The sequence below is a fragment of the Homo sapiens genome, chromosome 13 (genome assembly GCF_000001405.40).
Source record: "Homo sapiens chromosome 13, GRCh38.p14 Primary Assembly".
In the NCBI taxonomy this organism is placed as follows: Eukaryota; Metazoa; Chordata; class Mammalia; order Primates; family Hominidae; genus Homo; species Homo sapiens.
Genome location: NC_000013.11, coordinates 43,861,294 through 43,878,766, shown reverse-complemented (window position 1 = coordinate 43,878,766; position 17,473 = coordinate 43,861,294). Strand labels below are relative to the sequence as shown.

At 36.5% G+C, this 17,473-nt stretch overlaps 1 protein-coding gene across 10 annotated transcripts in view; it reads left to right on the top strand.

Moving 5' to 3' along the window:
• The window catches only part of CCDC122 (coiled-coil domain containing 122), a 60,723-nt gene that overhangs the window by 974 nt on the left and 42,276 nt on the right, over positions 1-17,473 (top strand). For 6 of the 10 annotated variants that reach the window (XM_047430112.1, XM_047430113.1, NM_144974.5 and 3 more), the window contains exons 2-4: positions 3,840-3,925; positions 9,278-9,436; positions 9,964-10,073. In XM_047430112.1, the coding sequence (XP_047286068.1) occupies positions 9,391-9,436; positions 9,964-10,073 (156 nt within the window). In that variant the 5' untranslated portion in view covers positions 3,840-3,925; positions 9,278-9,390. The remainder of the gene's footprint in view (positions 1-3,839; positions 3,926-9,277; positions 9,437-9,963; positions 10,074-17,473) is intronic. The other 4 variants (NM_001350617.2, NM_001350618.2, XM_024449327.2 and 1 more) reach the window with 3 other exon arrangements.

The following is a 17,473-nucleotide window of genomic DNA, read 5'->3' as shown; positions in this document are numbered from 1 at the left end:
TCATCCCTAAAATCATGATAAAGGTGCAGTTTAGCATCCCTGATCTGTCCTCCAAGAATATAACGTTCATTTATTTGAAAATAGCAGTTAGGACATGGAAGGCCAGTGTATGGTAAAGGGAAAAAATATCCGACCTTCCAAGAGTAAGAGAAATGGTGCTTCCTGGGGAACTGGTTATGATGGAAGGAGAGGTCCCTTTTATCTTCATTGTTGCTCATTTGGTAGGCGCTAAAGAACCTTTGTCTCATAATCTCAGATAGCTGGGAATTTGGAAGAGCCCTCTGGGGTAGGCATGTTCTTGTGCTTGACTAGAGACTGGGAGCACTAACCCAGAATGGAAACCCACCCTTCAATAACCCTAGCACCAGTTATGTCAAAATTCATGTTTTCTTTGGTCATTTGTTAAAGAGCCCCGAGCGGTAGATGGTACACCCAATCAGAAGGTGCACTCTGCCCTGAGTTTGTTTATGTTAAATATCATTAGATTGGTGCAAAGGTAATTGCGGTTTTTGCCATTGACAAAGACCACAATTACTTTTGCACCAGCTTAATACCTCAAGCAAAACAGAGGTCTTTTAGTTACAAAGGTTTTAAACATTTATCTCTGTTTTTACAATGGTGGGATTCGTATTCTTTCATGCAAAAGTAGTGGCAGTAAAAAAAAAATGAAAAAGAAAATATTTCAAAAGAATGAAGTTGTCAGGGAAGAGAGTTTGTTATATTGTATTTGCATACCATTTCCTTTCACCATCTGGTCCTAGTGTCATGTCCTAACACTTCCTCATCCCATTTTCACTCTATCCTACTCCAGTGGTTCTCAGTCTTGGCTGCAAATCAGAACTGCAAGTGCAACTGAAAAAAAAAATAATTAATGTAGAGACTCTATCCCAAATATACATTGAATCAGAATCTCTAGGAGTTAGGCCTGAGCATGTTTTGCTTTGCTTTTTTGTTTTGTTTTAACCTCTATGTATGAGTTAGATGCATAATTAAGTTTGAAAAAATAAAAACACCCTATTCCCAAGCCACTCAAATAAAAGCTGTTCTTTGGAGGCCACATGATTTCATTCTTTACATTTGCAGTTCCTCTACTTAGCAAAATACCCTCCTTTTTATATGCCTAACTGCTACTTTTTGTTCAAGGCTCTTCAAGCTCAAACATAATCTTCCCTGAATCCCCATCCCTCATCAAGCAAAATTAATAGCTTCTTTACATTTTGTTCATATGAAGAAGCCCTCTCATAGATGTAGTCTGGGCCCCTAGCCAAGAAATAAGTGGAAAAAATGGTTAAATATTGAATTGTACACTTTATAAGGATGTACTTTGTGGTATGTAAATTATATCTAAAAAAGGCTTTTTTTATAAGAAAAAAGGTCAGTTAAACCACAGAATCATGAAAAAATATAACAAATACCTTAAACTGTATTCTAACCTAAAACAACTGTGTGTTCATTTGCCCATCTATTGAGAAGATCCAAGACCTTTTCTTTGCATGTAGTCTACTGATTGGAATTCTGCATACTATCTCTTGCATAAACCGTACCCATAAACCATCAGCTAAGATTTCCCAAGATTTTGTTCTTTTAAGGGGAAAATAACTTAAAGGCACCTGTGAAGCAATCTGAGGGCAGATTTATACTTTGTAATTTTTTTCTTTTTTGAGATGAAGTCTCGCTCTGTCGCCAGGCTGTAGTACAGTGGTGCGATCTCGGCTCACTGCAGCCTCCACAGGGTTCAAGTGATTCTCCTGCCTTAGCCTCCCAAGTAGCTAGGATTACAGGCGTGCACCACCACGCCCGGCTAATTTTTGTATTTTTAGTAGAGACGGGGTTTCACCATGTTGGCCAGGATGGTCTCGAACTCCTGACCTCTCTTGATCTGCCTGCCTCAGCCTCCCAAAGTGCTGGGATTACAGGCATGAGCCACCGCTATATTTTATAATCTTTTACAGTTAATCTCACATACTTTTGTTGGGTCTTTCCAAAATATTAAACATAGATTTTTAAAGAAACAACAATTTCCACACTATTTCATTGGTTTATACAATATTAAGTTACGAAAGCACAATATCAAGCACAACTGGCAAAAACAGGTTTGCAAACAAACACAAGTAAGTCATAAGATTGAACTAGTCAATTGATAGGAGCAGAAATAGGCAGATTTACTAGTTAACAGTTTCCTAGCATGATATGGGAATTAGTCACTTATGACTTACAAAGGTAATAGAGTGAGTTAAGTGGTTAGAGGTTATGTGTAGATAGGCTTAGACATAAGCTGCTGCGCCTCTCCATTTTAATTGACTGTGTGTCTTTCTGCCTAGAGTGTTTTGAGGGCAGAGATAGTGCCTGGCTATTAAGGGAACTATTGAAGAACTCACCAGACATTTTTATAATGCTATGTAAATCTTCTCATGAGAACAAGTATAATTTTAAAGAACAAAACAGTTGTTTTTAAGCCATTTACACTAAGGTTTATGGATCTTTCCAGAAAAAGCCATGTAGCAGATGCAAATTTCCTTGCTAAAAGCTTCTGTTAGTTTCCTAGGGCTAGCATAACAAATTGGCACTAACTGGGTGACTAAAAACAACAAAAACTTGTTCTCTCACAGTTACGGAGGCCAGATGATGAAACTGAGGTGTTGACAGCACCTTGCACATTTTGGTGGTTCACTTACCTCTTCTGTTGTCTGGTGACTTCAGGTGTTCTTTGCCTAGGGGCTAAGTGACTTCAAGCTCCATGCCTCCATCGTCAAATGGTCTTATTCCATGTGGGTCTGAGTCTCAAGTAGCCCTCTACCTTTCTCTTATAAGGATTCTTGTGTAGAAATAAATGAAGATCAATCAAATGAGAACAAGCAAAAGCTATTTATTCAGGCCTTGTAAGGGAGGGAGCCACAATCTCCTGCATTTTAGCAAAGTTGAAGGCAGGCAGAGGAGTGGGCATGCCCTGATTAGAGGCTCTCAGCATGAGGAAGCTGCAGGCAGGCTAACTAGAAGTGGAGCATTCTATGGCTTCTTTTTGTTAGTCTCAACTTGGAAATGGGGACAAAAGTTAGGGAAGATGCCAGTTATTAATCCAGTACTGGTCATTTGGGACAATTGTTATAGTTTGTCTCCTAGGATTGTTATTAGAGATAATGATTTAACTTTCTACAAGTCTAATTTATAGACTTCCTGGACTGGTTACTGTAGATAATGGGTTAGTCTCCTGGGTTGCTTGCTGCAGGTTGTGGGTCAGAGTTCTGTTTTTACATATGGTCTGGCCATTGTCCATTTGCATATTCAGTCACCTACCCTAAATCCAGGATGATCTCATCTCAAGATCTTTAACCCAGTTAAATCTGCAAAACTCCTTTTTCAAAATAAGGTCACATTTACATGTTCTGGGAGTTAGGACGTGGATATATCTTTGGATGTGCGGGAGGGCACTATTTAACCCACTATAAAGTTCCTCTTGGTTTGGAAATCATGTTTACTTGTTTAGAGGGGGAGGAAATAAAAGACCTTGCCCCTTGCCTCTCTGAATGAGACAAGCAGGTAGGTTATAACTGGATTTCACCAAAGGTCTATATAACTTCTGTCCCAGAGGTAGAAATCTTTTCGAAACAGTTGCCTGGACATCCTTTAAAGCTTGGATTTGAGCTGCAGACCAACCCCTTAATGTCTACACTCCAAAACAAGAGATGTTTTGGTAGTCCAGTACTGTCTATACATTCAGCAAAGCCCCTCCTTTGGTAGAAACCTAGAAGCAGTGTGGATAATGTATGAATGTTGCCTATTATTATCTTGGATAAGGAGGTAAGGAACAGTACAAACCCTCTGTTTTCTTTCTTTTTCAGTGCCCTGAAACTCTAATCTCATTGCCTGGCCAGAAAAGGAAGTAATCCCTAGTGTCAGCAGATTCAGCGGTACTGGTGTATAATAGGTATACAGTTTATTTTTAATTATTCAATTAATTCTTTTTGGATGTCTCTGATGATGTTCTAACTTCTCTTAAAAACATGTTTGAAAAGAGTTGTCTCTAAAGCCTGTTTCCTTAATTTATGCAATTCTAATGAATTATCGGTAGATGGCAGTAGTTTGTTTTCATTTTTCTTTTCATTGCACAACAGAAGTCTGGGGAAAAAAAACTAAAACTTTTCCAATTTTACAGCATGAATTTTATGAATATTTGGTTTAAATAAATATTATCCAAGAGTTCTTCAATTTATGTTGCTATAGAAATAGAGATCAAGAAGTACTAGTTACTTTATTTTTATTGTATAAATCCAATTTTCTTTATTCTTTAGGTTACTTTATCAAATACTTTAAGGAATACAAAAATAAATAAAACACTGTATTTGTCTTCCCGGTGCTTACACTCTAATGGGGAAAGATACTATAAAATAATGAAAATAATAAAAATAAAAATATGTTGATTATTCATTGTGTGACAGGAATTTGCTAAATGCTTTACATGCATTATTTCATTTAGTCTTCACAATAACCCTAATGAAGCAGGCACTAATATTGTTCCCATTTTATAAGTAAGGAATCTGTGGCCCAGGTTGGAAATAATTTTCCTAATAAGCTAATAAGTAGTGCAATCTAGATTTAAAACTAGCTCTGTCTTACTCTAGACCTATACCTTTATCTAAAATGGTATAATAGAAATACTGAAACAATTCTTCTAAAAAGAGAAAGACCATATCTTCCCAGAAAGATCGAGAAAGACCTCCTAAAGAAAATGCCATCTAAATGGAATTGAAAGATTGGCTGTGATGTTGACGTGATCAGAATAGTGCTTTTGGAGCATTATTCTGTTAGAAAAGGGCAAACTGGAGTGGAGATAGACTATAATTAGACACCTGTTATATGCCAGGCACTTCTAGACATCTGCCATCATGGAGCTTACATTAGTAGAAGGATATGGAAAAGACGTGTATGAGATGTCGGTGGTAATAGATGCTGTCAAGAAAAATGAGGCAGGGCAAGGGTGAAAGAGAGTTATCAGGGAAGGCTTCTCTACTAAGATAGTATTTGGAATTGGTAAGGAGTGATTGGATTCCAGTATAATTTAAAGGTAGAGCCAATGGGCTTTGCCAAAAGAACTGCATGCAGCTTGTAATGGAAAAAGAGTGAAGGTTCTGGCTCATCCTTTGGGTAGGTCAATCGGGGCAGCAGCCTTGGAGTGTTAAGGATTTCTCAAAGGGCCTATGAAACATCAACAATAAGATCTCCTTTATTATTGCCTTGGGCAAGTCTAGTTGAATTGCCTTGGGCTCTATATCCTTGTAGAGACCTCCCTGCTAATGAACTCAGGGTTTTTGGCCTGAACAACAAGAAAAATGAACTTATAATTTACTGAGATAGAGAAGACTATGAAGGTGCAGGTTTAATGGTGGTAATAGAGTGGACAGAGGAATCAAAAGTTCAGTTTGTGATATATTGAGTTGAAATGCCTATTAAAAATCCAAATGGAGTTATCAGGTAGGCAATGAGTATGAGTCTACAGCTCAAAAGGGATGTTCAGGGTAGAGATATAATTTGGGAATTGTCAGCCTATAGGTGGATTTTAAAGCCATAGAACTAGATGGCATCACATGTAGAATAAGTATGAGAAAAGAAGGAAGCCTGAGGACCGAGCACTAGGAGGTGTGACATAAGTGAAAAAGATGAGAAGGGACCAGCAAAGGAAACCAAGAAGTATGGTATTTCAAGAAGGCAGTAATTATCAAATGTGTTAAATGATGCCAATAGGTCAAGTAAAATGAAGACGGAACTTGTTCATTGAATGTGGCAATGTGGAGCTCATAGATACCGTGATAAAAGTTTTAAAAGTACAGTGATAAATGACTGGTTCTAGTGGGTTCAAGAAGAAAGAGGAGAGGAAGTGGAGACCAAAGATCTTGGCTTTAAAGGGGAGCAAAGAAATGGGTCAGTACTGAAGGAGGTTATGGTGTCAAGCAAGGTTGGTGGTGGTAGTGGTTGTTGATTTATGATGGGCTGTTCAGAATAATACGTTTGACCAAGTAAATGGGGAAATTCTGTTGAGGGACCATTCAAAGAAGTAATGTCTGTGAGAAAGGAGTACAAAAGTAGAGGATTGGCCTTAGATAGGAGCAAGAACACTATTTATTGCAAGAAAACAGTATGCTGATATACAGGTGCAGGTACAAAATCTGGTAGATGGGTAATTTACCATCTTCTCTGATTTTTTTCTTCTATCTCAGTTAGATTAGAAGGTAAATTACCAACTCAAAGGAAGGGAAAAGAGGTGTGAGAGGTTTGAAGACAGGATAAAGAGTGAAACAATCATCTACATAACTTGGTGCATGTTAAGAGCCTAGGATCAAGGGCCCACTTGACATAAATGGTCTTGAATTTAAAGTGAGTCAACAGCATAGTTGCATGTCTTTCTTTAAGCATATTCAGCTACTTGAGTATAAGCAAAGCAGCTGGTTGAGATTCTTCCAGGGAATTAGGACAGGGAGTGAGCTGTAAGGGAAATGAGGGTGAATGCAAAGGAATCTAAGCCAAGTAAGGAGGGAAGAATACATGAAGGGCTAAGGGAATGTGTAAAGATACAAGAGTCGATGGATTGGAAGTCTTGCGGGGTTAAACAGCACATACTGTCAAAATACTAGATGGGATGAGCTAGAAGAATAAACAGTAGTTTGCATCTGAGATTATGGATAAGGTAGAGTTATACTCTATGGGTTGCTGGGGAGAATAGATGAAAGAAGACATCAAGCAACTGAACGTTCAGGGATTTAGATATACTATTTTTGTGGATATTGAAATTTCCAAAGAAATACAAGAGAGTAGTGATAGAGGAACAGTAAGTCAGATGCTGTAATCTAGGAATGAGCCTTCCAAGACCTGTAAGACAGCTGATAACAGCAAGGAAAGTTAAAGCCTATATAGTCTATGGCCTGAATTTCAAAGAAACTAGAGAGGGTTTTAGAGAGAAGAAAAGGAAATATGGTGGCAGTGGAATGGAGAACAGAAAAAAATGTTTCATCTCCAGACTTAGTGGCTTGAGGATGAGGAAGCTGTATCTTTGGACTTCAGTTAAAGCCAAAAGGTAAAAGGGAAGTTCACTGAAAAGGTTGACAATAGAAAGGACTTTGCTGAAGATGGCCCATGAATTTGAGAAGTCAAAGTGAAAGGATAGAAAAGGGTTGGGGAGTGGGTAATACAGCATCACACTAAAGGACTTACCAAGCTGAATAAGGATGGGTTCTTATGATGAAGAATGACCTGGTTTCTTCTGAAGACTGAAGTTAATAGGGATGTAGAATTTAATGGGAATTATGCCCACAATATTTTAGGCAGCTTATGGAAATTGCACTGTGATTTGGGGGAGAGAGAAATGGGGACTCGCCAGGAAAGTAAGTTACCTAGCAGGAATTTACTGCTAGGTAAGAGCATGAAGAACTCATTGGATTACCTCTTCAGGCATGCAAATTGTGTCATTAGGCCATTGGAGGTCTGTTGGAACTGCAGCAGCTCTATAAATGCACTTTACCAGAATAGTTTCTCGAAGAAGAAATATAGATGGTAGTAGTGGGAATAGAAAGAGTAAGTTGATTAAAGTGACGTTTTAGCATCATAGGAATACAAAATATAGTGGACCCTTGAACAACACAGGTTTGAACTGTGCAGGTCCACTTATCCATGAGTATTTTCAACCAAACTAGTATCAAATATACAGTATACGCGGGACTTGAAACCCACGTGTAAGGAGGACGAAGTTTTCGTGTAAGTCAGCTCCGAAGCACTGACTTTGGGACTTGAATTTGCACAGATTTTGATATGAAGTGGGGAAGGGGGTAACTTGGTACAAATCCCCTGCATATACTGTGGGATGACTCTAGTTTGATTCTGGAGTGATATATGGAAGACATAATTCTTCCCATAAAAAATCATAATCTTGGTAGTCTATCATAGTCTAGCATTAAGAGCATGAACTTTGGAGCCAAAATACTTGAATTCAAATCACATATCTTACATTGAATGGCTCTCTTTGGGTAAATTCTTATATCCATTTGTGTACCTCCCTGTACTTTTTTTTGTAAAATGAACATTGTAATAATATCTACCTTATAGGGTTAAATGAGTTACTATTTGTAAAGTTCTTAGAACACCATCTGGCACAGAATAAACACTATATAATTTTTTTTTAATCTAAAGCACTTGGAACAACAGTGACTAGCACAAAGTAAGTATGATGTAAGTATTTACCATTGTAATTAATTGAGAGAACTGACAGTATATACTGAAAGTATAAATGTAGAGGGCATGCATTTTTCAAGGTAGATATATTAAAGGATGAAGTCTGTGACCATGAAACCCAGATGAAAGAGCTAGAGAGAAAATCAGATTTGGATTCATTAGCACTAATCTGGGACAGTTCTGTGTGTTGAGCAGAAAGGATGTAACATGAACGGAGTGAATAGCTCAGCATCAGGGAAGACTTCATGAAGGAGTAAGTTTGAAGTGAGATTTGAAGGAAGTGACATGAAGCGACAGGAAAGAATTATAAATTTCAAGGAATGGTTATGATAATCTGCTAGGTAAGCTCTCAGGATTTCTTTAGCTTAGTTGTATATTTCTAGATAGATTTGATCTCTACACAGGAATTGATTTAACTTTGCTTTTCTTTTTTGTTGCATATATATCAGGTTTCAATCCTTTAAATTTTTTTAAACACATGTAACTAGTACATGAATGCTTTGTAGTTAATTGATCTTTAGAAAAGATATTTAGTGATTTAAGGAGAAAAATACTTATTCCTCCTATCATTACTCCTAAATAAAGAGTAGATCAAAATTTGCTTAGGGCCTGCCCTCTCCAGAATAGCACTGGACAGGAGTGCTATATTTCCTGGATTCCACACCCATAGCAGAAATTGTTAATCATTATTGATATTGTTTCTCACAGATTCTGGTTATAGTCTCAGAATCTATTTCATCATAGTACTGGAGTTACATACTATTAATACTAACCCAAAATAATTATGCAGTGTATATCAGGTACTGTTCTATGCATGCTACATATATTACTTTAATTATTAGAACAGCCTTATGAAGTTTTGAAGATGAGGGGCTGAAGATCAAAGAAGTTAAGAAACTTACTCAAGGTCACCACAGCAGAAAAGCAGGAGAAGCAAAATACAAATGCAGTTCTACTTTCATTCCAAAATCACTTAACCATTGTATTCTAATTCTTGGCACTAATGATAAAATGTCATTGACATCCCTGTGACATGTTTGACAATTAATTTACCTTTCAGGATCACCAATATACAACAGGAAAAAACAAAAGTGAAAGATTATCAATATAGATTATTGAGTAGGAGTAAAGAAGGTAAATCAAAAAGGGGAAAAGAGATTACAGACACAGAAAATGTCAGACAACAAAGAAAGGAAGAGTCAAGGATTTCCTAAAGAAGGTAATGAAACAGTCTTAAGAAATAAATAATTAAAAGATCAGCAACAACAAAAAAGTAGTCTGGCAGGATAATTGTGTTAAAATTGATAGCAAATTAGAATAGATGGAAGCAGTTACATTTAGCTGGGACAAACATATACAGTGTTTAGCAAAGGCATATCAACCTGAAAATACAGACCTACAATGAAAATGCATCAACTCTAATTGCTATAGAGTTGTTATGGTAGCACTATAATTATAGTATATGTGCAAGTGGTCTGGATAAAAAAAATTAGGACAATCAAAATATTTATACTGTTCCGTAGAGGAACGGGTATGACATTGCAGTAGGCAACTTTGAATTGCCTATTATTGTTGCCTTTACTTTTGGTTTTGTTTATATCAGCAAGGGAAAATTACTAATTCTAAATTTAGTTTAGAAGGAAAAAGTATCAAATATTTCATGATTTTGAGTAAAGAAACATAACTTTCTTAAAATGGCTGTATTTTAATTTTTATTATATACTTTATTCTTTTGTCTAATTGTAGATAACCAAGACACAAGTTCATTAGCTGATGCTGTAGAGAAAGTTGCAAAGCAACAACAATCACAAGCATCAGAGATAGAAAAAAACAAAAAGGTTCTGTTCAATTTGAAGGTAACTTCTTTATATAGTCTTTTAAATGTCTTTACTTTCTTCAAAAGTAAATGACCAGGAGATTATTAAAAATACTTATTATTGGGAGTCACTTTTAAAGTTATTCTCTGTCAATTATTCTGTTCTCCCTAAGTAAGGTTTACATGGCTATTCCAGTTTTATGGAAAATTTTACACTCCCAACATATAAAGATTCAACAATGTCATTGCAACTGTAGGATAAGCATATAAAACCTAACATGTTAGATAGAATTATTTTACATTCCCTTATTTGATAGTGTTTCCTAAAATGCTGAATTGAAGGAAGGTTAAGTTTTAAGCCAGTGTTTGTAAAGCTATGGATTGTGAGTTACTTGCTGTCAGTGAACATTTCAAGTAGCCTCCCTCTATGTTCCTTTCCTTTTTAAATATATTGATAATCCTACTGCAGGGAATTTGGGAGCCATACTTGGTCTTCGCATGCAACGTAATTAGATATAACTATACTATGTGAATATGACTAAAGAAATGAAAATGAAAACAGTATCTTGTGCTCTGTAACGATTGTTATTAAATATATCATAGAAATGAGAAGAGTAGGCTCAGGAGCTGAACTGCCTAGTTCAAAAGGCCAAATTTACTACTTTTTGTTCCGTGAATTTGTTGTGCTCCTGTTTCCTTAGTTGTAAAACAGAGATAACAATAGGACGTGCCCATAAGCTTTTCATGAGGATTAAATGAGTTAATGTGTTTGGTGGGGACCAGGTGGACATGGTACTGGTAGGGCCCTATTTGACATTGGCTTTAAGTATCACTGGTTTTAAGTGCATCAGTAGATATATGATGACAATAATTGTATTATCATGGTGATATGGATTTCTTATAAATACTTGTATTATGTTAGTCACTTCTAGAAAAGAATACATCTATACAGTAGAATATAATTCAAAAAATAATGTCATATTTTTGTAAAGAAATTTTTTGTAAAACTTTTCAGTCTTCAAAGAGTTTCATAGACTTTATTCCATTTATATTGAGAGCCTACTTTGTGTTAAGCATTTTGCTGAACATTGTCCTCACTCTTATGTTACTTACCATCTATTGGGAAGAGAAAGAAGTAAACAAATAATTACATGTAGAGTAGTAGTGTCAATGGTAGAGGCATGAACACAACACAGATTTAACACTAGAGAAAGAGTGATCACAAAAGAAATGATGTTTCAGTTGAGTTTTAAATGGCAGCTGGAGTTCATCTGAATGATTAGGTGTCTAGGACAGGTTTAAAGGTTAGGGAGTAAGGAAGATAATATTCAAAATAAAAAGAACCTGAGGATATTCACAGAGGACATTTGCAGAGGCCTGAAATAGCATTGGTACATTCCTAGAACCATAAATAGTTTGATGGTAATGTAAATTACAGTATGTTTTGAAAAATCATGGAAGATTTATACCACGATAAGAAACTTCAACTTTATTCTAAAGTTGATGAGCATTTGACAGATTTTAAGCAAGAAACAAATATTAAATTTATATTTTAGAAAGAATTCTAGATACATAAAAAGCACTTATTATAATCCAGTATCCATTCATGATAACTCTCAGCTAACTGGAAATAAAAGGGAACTTCCTTGGTCTAAGGAAGAACATCTACATAAATTCTACAACCAGCCACATACTTAATGGTGAAATAATGAATGTTTTTCTCCTAAGATCAGGAAAAAGAAAAAGATGTCTCCTCTTACTTCTATTCAGGATGGTACTGGTAGTTCAGGCCAGTACAGCTATGCAAGAAAAAGAAATAAAACTCATCCAGTTTAGAAAGAAAGAAGTAAATCTGTTTTTATTCACAGATGGCATTTTTTTTTAAAGAAAATCCCAAGGAAGCTATAAAAAGCTATTAGAACTAATAAGTGAGTTTAGAAAGATTGCAGGGCATAAGATTAATATACAAAAATATATTGTATTTCTGCACATTGGCAAGAGAAAATCAGAAATTAAAACTTCAAAAGCAATACTACTTACAATGCCATCGAAACCATTCAATACTTAGGGGCAAATTTGACAAAAGGTTTACAAGACCAGTATGCTGAACACTGTAAAACATTGGTGAGAAAAATTAAAGAAGACTTAAATATAGAGGTATATCATTTTTATGAAACAGAAGACTCAGTATTGCTAATATGTTAGTTCTCTCAATTTTATTTATACATGAAATGCAGTCCCAGTCAAAATTTCAGCAGGCTTTTGGGAGAGAAATACATAGGCTAATTCTAAAAGTCATATGGAAATTTAAAGGACCTAGAATATCCAAAACAATTTTGAAGAAGAAAAGTGTTGGAAATCTTATACTACCTGGGACATTTTCTAACACTAACAACCAATTTTCTGATTCTCTGGATGCCAACTTGGTGTCCAATGATTTGATTCAGTTCTGACACTACAACAGTTTTCCCTTATTTGCAGTTTTGTTTTTGCAGTTTCAGTTACCCACAGTGAGCTGCATTCTAAAAGTATTAAATGGAAGATTACAGAAATAAACAATTTGTAAATTTAAAATTGCAAGTCATTCTGAGTAGCATGATGAAATCTCGCATTGTCCTGCTCCATCCTGCCTGGGATGTGAGTCGTCCTTTTGTCCAGCACATCTATGCCATATGAGCTACCCATTCATTAGTCACTTAGTAGTCGTCTCAGTTATCAGATTGATTGTGGCAGTATCACAGTGCTTATGTTCAACTAAACCTTATTTTACTTAATGGCCCCAAAGTATCAGCGTAGTGATGCTGGCAATTCACATATGCCACAGAGAAGCTGTAAAGTACTTACTTTAAGTGAGAAGGTGAAAGTTCTTAACTTAAAGGAAAGAAAAAAATCATACACTGAAGTTGCTAAGATCTATGGTAAGGACAAATCATCCATCTGTGAAGTTGTAAAGAAGAAAAAATAAATTCCTGGCTGGGCGTGGTGGCTCACGTCTAATCCCAGCACTTTGGGAGGCCGAGGCAGATGGATAACTTGAGGTCGGGAGTTCGAGACCAGCCTGGCCAACATGGTGAAACCCTGTCTCTACTAAAAATACAAAACAGCTGGGCATGTTGAGTACAGTACAATAAGATAGGAGAGAGAGACCACATTCACATAACTTTTATTATAGTATATCGTTATAATTATTTTGTTGTTATTGTTATTCTCTTATTGTGCCTAATTTATATATTAAACTTTATCATAGGTATATATGTATAGGAAAAAAAAACATAGTGTATATAGAGTTCAGTACTGTCCATGGTTTCAGACGTCCACGGAGGTCTTGGAACATATTCCCCTTGGATAAGGAGGGAGTACTGTATCTACCTGGAATTAGCATCAGATCCCACAAGTTAAAGGGCTCAGTCCCATAAGACTGCCCCTGCTTCATGTGCCAATCACAAGTCCCAGGCCACCCATACTTCTGATCAACTGGCTATAAAATCAGAGGTTCTCACAACCTACTCCCATACTTTCCCCGCACCCCTCACCAGGTTTGAGCATTTTTAGAATGACTCACAGAACTCAGGAAAGCACCTATTACCCATTTATTATAAAGGACACAACTCAGGAATAGCCAAATGGAAGAGATGATGCGTGGGGATAGGTATGTGGGAGGGGGCCTGCAAGGAGCTTCTATGCTGTCTCTGGGCGCTCCACTCTTCCAGCACCTCAATATGTTTATACCAACCCAGAAGCTCTCTCAACCCCGCATAGTTTAAGGTTTCCTATGGAGGTTTCATCACATTATTAACTCAATCTCCAGCCCCTCTTTCCTCCCAGAAGACTGGGGAAATGGGGCTAAAAGTTTCAGTCTTCTAATCAAGGCTTGGGCTTTTTGACAGCCAGCCCCCATCCTAAACTATGTAGAGACCCACCAAGAATTAATTCATTCGAACAAAAGATCATCCTATCACCCTTGTCACTTAGGAAATCCCAAGGTCCTATGGTTTGGATGTTTGTCCCCTCCAACCCTCATGTTGGAAGTTAATCCCTAGTGTTGGAGATGGGGCCCAGTGGGAGGTGTTTGGGTCATGGAGGCAGATCCTGTCATGAATAGATTAATGCCCTCCTTTGGGAGCAAAGGAGTTCTCATTCTATTAGTTCCCCTGAGAGCTTGTTGTTAAAAAGAGCCTGGCGCCTCCCGGCTCCCTCTCTTGCTTTCTTTCCCACCATGTGACTGCTGCAAAGGCCAGCTCCTCTTCACCTTCTACCATGAGTAGAAGCAGCCTGAGGCCCTCACTAGATGTAGATGCCCAGTCTTGAACTTTCCAGCCATCAGAATCATGGGCCAAATAAACCTTTTTTGAATAAATTACCCAGACTCAGGAATTTATTTTAGCAACACAGAATGGACTAATACACAAGAGTTTTAGGAGCTCTGTACCAATAACTGGGAACAAAGACCAAATATCTTTCCATGTTACCACACTACCTGATTTTAATATTTATTATAGGGCATAGTAATCAGGATAATATGATATAGCTAGACATATAGATCCATGGAACAAACTAAAGTGCCCAGAAATAGCCCCACACATATCAATTGATTTTTGAAGACGTACCAAAGCAATTCAGTAGAGAAGGATAATCTTTTCATGAAATGGTAGAAGAACAATTGGATATTTTCATGCAAAAAAAATTCTGAACCTCAAATTTCACCTCAAACCATATACAAAAATTAACTCAAAATGAATCAAAGGCCTGAATGTTAAGAGTTAAAACAAAAAATATCTGGAAGAAAACATAGAAAAACTTATTGATGTTGGGCTTGGCAATGATTTCTTTAATATGACATAAAAATTTTGATGAATTTCATCCAAAAAAATTTTTAAACTTGCTCTTCAATATACACTATTATGAAAACAAACTAAGGTATTCTTGGTGGGGCCCTTTGGCCATTTGGGTTGTCACAGACTAGGAGAGAATATTTGAAAACACATCTAACAGTATACTTAAATTTCCACTATAATATCCACACACACAGGCACACACACACACACACACACACACACAACCCACTAGAATGGCTAAGTTTAAAAAGACTGACCATAACAAATGTTGTTGCAGATATGGAAGGCCTGGAACTCTCAGACCTGTTAGATGGACTGTAAAATGACACAACCACTTAGGAAAACAGTTTATACTTTCTTGAAAAGTTAAACCTATCCCTACTGTATAATCTAGCCATTTAACTTTTAGGTATTTACCCAAGAGAAATAAATGTGTATGCCCACTGGAAAACTGGAAACAACCCAAATGCCCATCAGTTAGATGAACTAATAAACTAATATGGTATATCCATACAACGGAATACTACTTAGCAATAAAAATGAAGAATTATTGATATATACAACAACATGGATGAATCTTGAAATAATTATGCTTATTGAAATAAGACTTAAAATTATGTATTAAATGATTCTATTTATATAAAATTAGTGAAAAGCAAACTAATCTTTAGAGAAGGAAGGCAGATCAGTGGTTTCCTAGGAATGGAGAGATGGAAAGGGAGGAATGAATTTACAGAGTATCAGGAGAAAACTTTTTTGAATAATGACTACGTTTATTATCTTAGTTGTGGTGATGGTCTTATGAGCACAAGAAGGTCAAAATTCATCAAATTGTAAAGTTCGAATATGTATTTATATTAATTTTGCTTCGATAAAGCTGTAAGTTTAAAAAGGAGAGAGAAGAAGGGGAAAAGGATGAAGAGGAAGAGGGAGGAAAAGAGGCAGAGGAGATTAAAGAAGAGAGGGAGAAGAAAAAAATAACGTAATTCTCATGTAAGGGCAGAAATGGATTAAAGGCAAAAGAAACTAAAGCCAATAAGAAAAATTAATAGTCAATTACATTAGTCCAAGAAAGAGAAGAGATGATAACCAAATTGTATGGGTCAATATACTTCTTCTATTGACCAATAGAGTTGATAGATAGCCTGATGTAACCAGCAGGGCATATGTCCCTTTCCTGACCATTGGTTGTGCATCAGTCATTCACTCATTTATTGAATGAATTTATTTATTTATTGAGCACCTACTTTGTGTCAGTTACTGTTTTAAGCAGTGGGAAGATGGTGGTAATGAAGACAGACATGGTTCCTGTAGCCACAGAGCTTACTTTCTAGTCAGGGGAAGCAAGCAATAAATTAACAAAATAAAGATAATTCAAAGATTGATGTATTACAAAGGAAATACAATGGGGTAATGTGTAGAGAGTAACTAGAGGAGGAGTGGAATAGTGGTTGGTTCATTTATATTTTGATTTAGGGAAGACTCTTCTGAGACATAATAATAATACTGAATTGTGAAAGACAAAGACCCAACAGATAATAGCCAGGGGTAGAGAATTTTAAAGTAGACCAAACAATAATTTAAAAAGCCGTTAGGTCGGAAGGAACTATACATATTTAATCAACACAAAGGAGACTGGAAAAAGGGAGAGTAGTAGATGAGAAGCATAGCAAAGTAGATAGGCACTAGGGCATATATGGCTTATAAAACACTTTCAGGAATTTGAAATTTTTTATTAATGCAATGGGAAACCACTGGAGGATGTTGAGCAGGGAAATAACATGATATGATTTATGTTTTGAAAAGATTCTTCTGCCTGATATACACAGACTAGTTGGGGGAGTGGGGAGGAACGGAAATAGGGAGATGAGTTAGACATTAGGTCACACTACAAAGACTGGTCAGAAGTGCATTGGGGATTTTATTTTGGAGGCCCAACCATCAGGATTTGATGAGAAATAGGTTGTGGGGGTAAGGGAAAGGGAAGAATCAAGAATGATTTCTAGGCTTTTGAGTATCCAGGTGGAAAGTGGTACAGTTTATTGAAATCAGAAAGTCTGGGGGAGGAATATGTTTGGTGTGTAAATTAAACTTTTTTTCTGAATATGTATAGTTGAGATGTCTGGTAAACATACATATAAAAATGTCAAGTGAGCATTTGAAACATCAGAGCTGATGATAAAAATTGAGGTTCATTGCCATATTGTATTTTTCAGTGAACTTACCTCCTTTTTCTCTGCCAGGAAAAGGATACAAGGAAGTTTGCATTTTTTAAAACAATGCCCTCTAACATTACAAATTTACTTAAAAAGAATGACCATAGTAGATAAGAAGAGGACTATGGAGGATGGCCTACAGAGTTATTTTGGTGGGAAGATCTACAGAATTTGAGAAACATTTAGACAGTTATTTAAAAGAAGGGAAGAGCTAAGGTGGTAACATTAACTAAGTTGGGGAACATAGGAGTGTGATCATTTGCATTTTTGGTCCCAGTTTTTCATCCGTTAGTCTATCCGTACCCTTTGCCATACATTACAATGCTTTCCCATAATGGATGGACACACTTCCACCCCTTGACTCTGGGTTTGATTATGTAACTAGCTGG